Source organism: Homo sapiens, chromosome 12, assembly GCF_000001405.40.
Source record: "Homo sapiens chromosome 12, GRCh38.p14 Primary Assembly".
Taxonomy (NCBI): domain Eukaryota; kingdom Metazoa; phylum Chordata; class Mammalia; order Primates; family Hominidae; genus Homo; species Homo sapiens.
In genome coordinates, this window is record NC_000012.12 from 30,330,186 (window position 1) to 30,339,858 (window position 9,673).

At 39.3% G+C, this 9,673-nt stretch overlaps 1 annotated feature.

Moving 5' to 3' along the window:
• Positions 278–825: an enhancer, noted in NCBI's record as "NANOG hESC enhancer chr12:30483396-30483943 (GRCh37/hg19 assembly coordinates)". NCBI's record gives its function as "activates a minimal SCP1, AML or CMV promoter by ChIP-STARR-seq in naive H9 embryonic stem cells {active_cell/tissue: H9 hESC(naive)}" and the evidence as "EXISTENCE:reporter gene assay evidence [ECO:0000049][PMID:30033119]".

Here is a 9,673-nt window from a genome sequence, read left to right on the forward strand (position 1 = left end):
ACTGCGAGTGGAACTTTGGCCAAGGCCATCTATCACAGGAGCACCATAAGCTCCCACTTTGACTGATGAGATGCAGTGATACCTTGGGTCCTAAGGAATTAGCATCAATTCAGAACCATTCAGAACCAGTGTCTCATAATCCTTTAGAAGTCTGGGTGATTCTTTTTCTCCAGGGCTTGGTCACTCTAGTCAATGACTACAGATGTCTTCTCTGTAGACATTGTACATGTCTACAGAGGACTTGTCTGTGGAAAATCTTAGAGGTATATTTACTGTATATATTGTGACAATGCTACAGAGTCCAGTTCTATCAACCAAGGGACTCTGGGGCTATAAATTGGCTTAGGTCTGGCAACTGGGTTAGAGGCCATGGTTCTCCATTGTGGTGACTCAAACCAGATGTTTTTCAGTTACCTAGATCAGGAGTAAGCAAATCTTTTCTGTAAAGGCCAGATAGCAAATACTTTAAGGTTTGCAACCCAACTGGTCTCTGTTAACAACTACTCAACTTCCCTGTTGTAGCAGAAGAGCAGCCATAGACAGATGGATGAGTGTGTTTTGTGTTTCAATAAAACTTTATTTACATAATAAACAGAGGAAGAGATTCCCCTAATCACCTGAGCCTGTTTATCTTTTCTCTGTCCTTTCTTTAGAGAAACTTAATTGGGAGGTAATGGAGCCAAGTGAATGACACTTTTGTAGCTATTCATCTGCTTTCCAAACTGTTTAAAATTTAAAAACTCTATTAGATCTTCTTTTTAAAGAATAATGCTTTTAATAATTTAATTGTTATTATTTGCTGTACACCTACCTGCAAGATAGGTTTCTTAAGGTTGCTATGGTATTCTAATCATATGATGTACATAAAGCATGAAACACTTGTAAAGTATAAAATGCCTCACCATCATCACGTATAGGAAGAAAATGATATGAAAAAGTAGATAATGCTCTTTAACAGCCATGAAAAGTTTAAGCTGCTAGAAGAAAGGTCAACAGTAGGATATGATCAGCCCAAGGGAGGTTATTTTGATAAGTTTTCTACAAATGGGAAAGGCCCTTCACTGACATCGAGTTCAACAATACTTTTTTCCTATCTTCAGTGAAACAGAGTTTATAGTCATTTTCCACTCTTCTCATTTTTTTCCCATCCTTTCTAGGGAAAAATGTTCTTTAATCAGCAGCTGCCACAATCTAAAAGGCTTTCAGACTGAGCTACTCTAGGCACAGCCTGAAGCACTTTGCCGGGGTCTGCAGGAAATATCTAGGCCTATTAGGACACAGTAGATCCCTTGTAAGTCACATTGGCTGCTCTTGCTCCAAGCTACATGCCAATTAGTCTGCAGGCTGCTATTTATTTGCAATCATTGGAATCATGTCCACTTTGGGGTATCTCTCAAGAACCCCATGACTGGGAAACCAAACGATGCAAATGCCCAATGTTTGTTATCAACCTGGATCTCAGATGTGCTTGGCATAATCTACCTGAACCCTTAGAAGATTATTTTGGTGTTAGGAAATGTGAATAAAAAAAAGTGAATATTTTACAAGGTAAGGAAGCAACTAGTCATATGCTGTGATTTAGAAGGAGAAATTATAAAGGATTATTAAAAGAAAACCAGTTTTCTATGAGTTGCAAAGGCTATCACCATGTGTTTCTATTCTCTCAAAGTTGCTGAAACTGCTCTACATTATCTTTCATGTTGTAATACCAAAAATTGAAATGTACTGCTCTAGGATGTTTGTGTCATTGGTTTAACTCAAGCTGCAGACTACAAATGGCACTATATTTCTAACATTGCTATAACAAAACGAGGAGGACTGAATAGTTGGAGCAGATGTGAGAAGTGTTCAGAGATTTGGGGCTCAGAGGCAGAACTTTAAAGAACAGTTGAAATTCTGAATACACTCAGAAAAATGATCTCAAAGTCACTTTAAAAATGCAGCTTCACATCAGCCAGCTCATGAGAGGCTCTTTGTGAGAGGATACCACTTTCTGATGTAACACGGACTTTCCTCCAAACAAATTCAACCTGGAAGAAAATCCCCCCAATTAACCAGCTCATTCCTTTCAGATCATTCATCTTACATCAGGTGGATCCACCACCAATACTATTGCGGTGCATGTGCAAACCACATATGTAAAAACACTGGCAAAAATATTCAGGTGTCCAAAGAGGTTAACACCTCAAGACAAAAGTTCAACTCCTATCACATGTCCAACTTTAATAAGAAATATTTTCTTTCCAACTCTGTTTCCTCCTGTTTACAATGCACTTTCTCCAAGCCCCCAACCTCAATTGAGACCACAACAAAAGCTCATGCTAGCAGATCCTGAGCAGGATGTTTTTCTGACTGACACACTCAGAGAGAAGAAAGACCCCTCAAAATGTTGCTCACCAGGAGGAGTGGGGCTGTTCGGGTGTCATTCTGGCTCTTTCTACTACCTGCCTCCATTAGCTATTTCTTCTTCTTTTAAAGAAAGGCACACCTCTCACACATTCTGAACGTAACAATACCCCCCTACCTGGAGGGAAATTACTTCCCAGGGTGCCAGACAAATGTCCAATTTGAAATATCGGTGCTTTCTGGTCAAAGTGGAATAACAGGGACCAGATGTAACCTCTGCCTGAAACACCACCACCGCCACACCTTAAAAAGTAAAATACATTAATCAACAGGTGATCTCTGAGGGATGGGAAACAAACAATGTGAGCCCTATAACTGCTCCACCTAACAGCCTTGAGAGCATTCCTAGGCTGCGGTGCAGGGAGGCAGAACTGAGGTGGGTTCCCCGACGTGAGGAGATGAAGCTTGGTCCTGGGAGACCTGGGCAGCGAGAGTTCACAGCAGAGAGTTCCAGAGAGGAGACAGCTGCACAGACAGCCAACTCCAGAGATCTGCAGAGGGACTCTGATGGGAATCAGCACATGCATGTTAGGAAGCTACCCAGGAAAGAATTATCAAAAGAGGGAACAGAGACTGTGCTGACGCTGGGCTGGAAACAATGACTGCTCCCACCAAGCAGACTGGAATAACTCTTAATTCCTAGGGCACTGGACAAAGTACTTAGGAAGGTTTTGCTTCAGTAGTGAGGAATAATTAACCTTAGACTAGGTTCTGTTTCAGAAGTGCCTAAACATCATAAGAGTAAGACCTGAAAACAGCAAACTGTTTCAAGTAACTCAATTGCATGGAACAAAGCTCAAGAAAATCTATAGAAATAACAAAAATTTCAATCATTCAACAATGTCATCTAATCAAAGACAATAAGGCATGTGAAGAGGCAAGAACATACAACCCTCAACAGAGAAGAATGAGTCAATTAAAATCCATGTAGAACTGACCCAGGTGTTAGAATTAGCAGAGAAGGATATTGGAAGAGTTCCTTTCTACCAAAAGCTTGTAGAAGAATCTTCCTAGCAGCTTGATTTGTAATTGCAAAAAATTGAAAACAATCTAGGTGTTTATACAGTTGAATAAGCAGAATACTTGGTGATAAAAAAGATTTTCTAAGAGATGCAACAACATTAATGAATCTCAAAAACATCATGCTAAGCGAAGAAAGCCAAACATAAAAAACATATTATATGATCCCATTTATTTAAGATTCTCAAGCAGGTGAAGTTATTCTGTGATACTAGATATTATATCTGTGGTTGTTTCTGGAATTGGGGAATCAACTGAAAAATAATGCAAGGAAACTTTTAGGGTAAATAAATAGTTTCAATATTGGTAGGAATGTGAGTTTCAGGAATGTAGGCATTGTAAAAATTGATCAAACTGTACAAACTGTCCATTTCATTCAATAAAAATTTTTTCAAAATATTTTAACAATCCAATAGAAAAATAGGTACTTTGTATAAAAGCAAATAAAATAGTTGATAGTAAACAAATGAAACTGTGCTTAGTGTCATCAGGATTCCTTGAAAAAGAAACTAGAACCACAGTGAGATACCATTTTGCACCCATCAACTTGATGATATTTTAAAATCTGACAGTATTTGACACCATTTCATCACATACTCTGCTGATGCAATATATATGGAAGCAACCACTTTGGGAAACATTTTGGCTTACTTAGTAATGAAGAAATCCATTCTCTGTGCCCTGAAATGCCACTCTTAGAAATATTTCTTTTTAAAAAAAGTATTGAGCGTCAAAGATTTGTGGATCTTGTTCGTAACAACGGGGTTTGTGATAACAAAAACCTGAAAACCTGAAGATTTACTTATAGAATTATAAATAGCAATATAGTCAAACATGGGTTGAATACATTCATAAAGAAGTAGAATTAGGCCGGGCACAGTGGCTAATGCCTGTAATCCTAGCACTTTGGGAAGTCAAGGCTGGAAGATCACCTGAGGTCAGGAGTACAAGACCAGCCTGGCCAACATGATGAAACCTCTTCTCTACTAAAAATACAAAAATGAGCCGGGTGCAGTGGCACAGGCCTGTAATCCCAGCTACCCAGGAGGCTGAGGCAGGAAAATCTCTTGAGCCTGGGAGGCGGAGGTTACAGTGACCCAAGATCGAGCCACTGCACTCCAGCCCAGGCAACAGAGCGAGACTCCGTCTGGAAAAAATAAAAATTAAAAAAAAGAGTCCAGGCACGGTGGCTCATGCCTGTAATCCCAACACTTTCAGAGGCCAAAGCGGGCGGATCACTAGAGGTCAGGAGTTCTAGGTCTGGCCGGTGTGGTGAAACCCCATCTCTACTAAAAATACAAAAATTAGACAGGCGTGTTGGCGGGTGCCTGTAATCCCAACTACTCTGGAAGCTGAGGCATGAGAATCACTTGAACCCATGAGGTGGAGGTTGCAGTGAGCCAAGATCACGCCACTGCACTCCAGCCTTGGTGACAGAACAAGACTCAGTCAAAAAAAAAAAAAAGTAGAATTTAATGAATTTCAGCTACATGAATACATAGATGAATCTCAGGGGTGTAAAGTCAAATGGGAAAAACATTTCCAAAGAGTACCTACAGTATGCTTCTATCTGTTTGTATCTCAAAAACATGCACAACTAAACCATATGATATTTAAAGGTACAAACACATGATAAAACAATAAGGACAAGAAGGGAATAATTAACACAATTCTAAACACAGAGTTTGAGAAGGGAGTAGAGCTGGGGAAGGAAATGCAATACAAAAGTATACATTGTATTGTATTATTTAAACTTTATATATGTTTCACTAAAATTCTTTCTTGCTCACTTTATTTAACACAAAATTTGGTAAAAAGTGAACCAAAAAGAATATAGAAGGGTAGACTAAGGAATGTGAGATAAAATGCTGAATATGTAAGTTTTTATTATCAATATCAAAATCATTATAAAACTCAATTATAAATCTGCCAAATTCTTAATGTAGAAATTTCTCATTTAGAGTTATAAGATCACCATGTAATGAAGACAGAACTGAAAGACTGTTAGTGAATAATGTTGTTTATAAAACAATGCACCCAGATAAATGTCAAGGTATTATGAAAAGTATTATTTATTCCCAGCCCATAATTAATTGAATGCCCTGTGGAGGCAAGACGCTCTAGTGTAAAGGTTTTTGTCATTTTTATAAAGATGTTTATTTGTTCTGCTATTTCACAATGCTTGATTATGTGGAAGTAGAATTCATCTTCCCTGCATAAACTTTCAAAGTCATCAGAAGTAAACAGGGAATGACTTTGGAGGGAGGAAAAGCGACATATAAGATCCCATTTTGAAACACCTAATATTCAAATTCAAAGTGTTATTCCTTTCCTTCTGAATACTGATATATGCTTAATGCATGCATGTATGTAAACACGTAAGAGATATCTAGAGGAACTGCATCTGAATCTGAATAATGGATTGCCTGTGAAGGGAGACAAATTCTATTCTGACCTTGCAGCCTTTTGCAAAACCAAAGTCTCCAGGTGGAGATCTGCCTAGATTCAGGATTCCACATCCTGACTGAGTTGCCAAGTATTGGCCCAAAGGACAGAGAAACACCATATGTACACTGTACAGTGCGTTCTGGTTTACCTAACAGTGCTCTGGAAAAACATGCAGTGCAGTCTCAGGGAACACATTCAGCCCTGCAATCCTGGGAGAGTGGTTGCCCACATTCTGGGCTGCTGGGCAAGGGTGGATAAATTACGGAATGTGAGGCTTGGGAGAGGAGATGCAGCCTCTCTGGTAAAATTGCCCCATTTTTGCCCTAATCTTTGTCTGTTCAACAGATGCTTTTGATAAATTTTTTTTGTGATATAAAAACAATTAATGTGAAAGCTACTTTCAGAGATATAGGGTGTATTAGGCCATTCTTGCATTGTTATAAAGGAATACCTGAGACTGGATAAATAATAAAGAAAAGAGATTTAATTGGCTCACAGTTCTGCAGGCTGTACAAGCATGGAGCCAGCACCTCTTCAGATGCTGGGGAGGCCTCAGGGAGCTTTTACTCATGGTGGAAAGTGAAGTGGGAGCAGGTACGTCACATGGTGAGAGCAGGAGTAGGGCTTGGGGGAGGTGCTAACATACTTTTAAACAACCAGATCTAGTGAGAACTAACTCACTAACATGAGGACAGTACCAAGCCACGAGGGATCCTCCCCTATGAACCAAACACCTCCCACCAGGCCCCACCTCCAACACTGGGGATTACATTCCAAAATGAGATTTGGGTGGGGCAAACATCCAAACCATACCATAGAGGACATTTAAATACATTATTCACTGTTAGTAACAGGGATTCTACTGTCTCCCCTATCTTCATATAAGTCCAGAATGCTCTCCCTAGATATGTAACGAAGCCTCTTCACCTAATCCCGATCCTAATGGCCAAGACAGGAATAAAAACAGAGCTATGGACCAACGCCGTTACCCCATTATGACAACAAATACTTGCTGCTCTCAGGTATATTTGGAAAACTCCGTCTCTTTGCTCTGCACACACGACTAATGTCACAAGGATTTATGAAATGGGTTGAATCTTTTAGCCCTTAAATCCTAAAAATCCCAGCCTGGTTAAGTGCTGGGCATACAGCAAAACATAGTGGTTCTAAGCTATTCTGGAAAAGTCACTGAGGCATCAGTGGCATGTAAGGAAATATCCCTCAGAACAGGTCAGAGAAAGCTAGAAATAAGGTCAGTTAAGGCAATATCCCCAATATGGAAACATTTAAAGAGGAGAAACTGGTTTCTACTGAGAAATTAAATGTAGACTTAAAAGACTATCCCTTTCCAAAAATCTACTTATCATGCAACTACTACCAAATGTATTAAGCAGACAATAACTTACGTAAACATGGTAACAGGTCAGCATAACATCTTCTCTACAACCTTCCAGGAGACACTGCTGAGCACAGCAGGGGTGCAATGCTATACTCCTCCCAATAGGCAAGGATTTTATTGCTAAATCCCATTAAATTGCACAAAATATCAAAATATAGTAGGAATTCATAACCAACAATGGCACAGGAGCTCTGCATCTGAAGAAATTTGCTGCCTCATTTATTGTGTGTACTATAGCCCTGCGTGCGTGGTCAAAGCAAAAAGAAGACAAAGGGGAAAAAGTTTCAGTACTGTAACCCCAGACCAGTCACCTAAAACACAAAGTCTGGGAGTTTGCATATTGTATATACAATTTAGTTTACATTGAAACAAGAGTCTCAACTGATGGTAGAAAAGTTGGGGATTTGCAGAGGGTAACAGTAAAGCTTTATTTGAAGCTTAACTTGTAAGTTAAGCTTTCCATTTAAGTAGTGAGTTTCAAGCAGAGCACTGTCTGACCACACAGACTGCATTAAGTATCTTCTTCTAGTTCAAGAGTAGAAAACCTTTTAAAAGAGTCTAGAAGATATTGTGAATAGCCTGAAGCTGGAAACCATCATTCTCAGCAAAGTATCGCAAGGACAAAAAACCAAACACCGCGTGTTCTCACTCATAGATGGGAATTGAATAATGAGAACACATGGACACAGGAAGGGGAACATCACACACTGGGGCCTGTTGTGGGGTTGGGGGAGGGGGCAGGGATAGCATTTGGAAATATACCTAATGTAAATGACAAGTTAATGGGTGCAGCACACCAACATGGCACATGTGTACATATGTAACTAACCTGCACGTTGTGCACATGTACCCTAAAACTTAAAGTATAATAATAAAAAAAAGACTCTAGAGGCTTCATAGCAGAAACAAATTAATATCTTGTTGAAATTACAGGGCACACAGTAAGAACATGACACAATATAGTGCCTTAAAAGTCAGATTGTGTTTTTATATCAAGACCCTATTAAGTTGGTTCAGAGAACAAGACTCCACCAGAGAAAAGGGGGTGGAGGCAGATTCCCAAAGACTCTTTAGGCTTGGGGGGAAGCAATCAATAATAAGCAGACATGTGAGTCCAGGTGGAGGTGGAGAGGGTTAAGACGATAAAAAACCTCAACAATAATGGCCAAAAGGCCCACTCCACATGTCTGAAATTGGGAAGTGTGAGAAGGAGCCTTAAAAATTGTCCAATGCTGGGGGGCCAAGGCGGCCAGATCACCTGAGTCAGGAGTTCAAGTCCAGACTGGCCAGCATGGTGAAACCCTGCCTCTACTAAAAAAATACAAAAAATTAGCCAAGTATGGTGGTGTGTGCCTATAATCCCAGCTATTAGGGAGGCTGAGGCAGAAGAATTGCTTGAACCCATGAGGCGGAGTTTGCAGTGAGATGGGATAGCGCCATTGCACTCCAGCCTGGGCAACAAGAGTGAGGCTCCATGTCAAAAAAAAAAAAATCATCCAATGCCTCATTTTATAAATCAGGATAAATAATACCAAAGGGATTAACTGAGTTTCTAATCCCCAGGATTTTGACATAGATGTTCTTACTCCAAATCCTTCAGACCCACTTTTAATCCACTCCAACCCAGCAAACACAGACTCTGGAGGCAAACTGCAAAGGTTGAAGTCCTGACTCCTTGACTTGTTAGTAGTCAGCCTTGAGTCAAGTTAAACTCTCTGTCTCTTAATTAAAATACCTAATTCAAAAAGTTATTGTGAGGATTAAATGAGCAAATGTAGGAAAAATGCTTTATGGTTCTGGGCATATAGTGTTATGCTTTATATGGTTAGCAATTATTATCTTTAATGTCATTATTAATTATGGGGACATAAGGAAAATGACAGAAAAGCAAATTACAATTTTTCAAAAATGCTTTCCATTTTAAAAGTGGTAAAGGAGCCATCTTCACCAATAAAACCAAAGCATAAAAATGTGACCACTCTTTAATTTAATTCTTTATAGTTGCATGGAGACCAGAAGTTATTCTCTTCCTGCCAAAAAGCCACTGACATTTATTAAAAACATTCTTAAATTCAAGATCAGGGGTTGGGGAAAGGGAAAGGAAACAAATTGGCAGTGTTCTGTAAGACCAAAGTTGGCAACTGGGAAACTTAATTTTGGAATACGCCGGCTTTCGACAAAGATCATTGGTAAGTTAAGGATTGTGCTGGTTTTCACTGAAATATTTATGATGAAGGTATTTCCTAGGAGAGGCATCTTTCAGTAGAGGCCTTGAAAGCTGCCAGAATCAATGACTTTCTTCTATGTTAATTAGCTTGATTGAGGTAATCACTTCACAATGTATACATATATCAAAACACAGCGTTGTCCATCTTAAATATATACAACTTTTATTTGTCC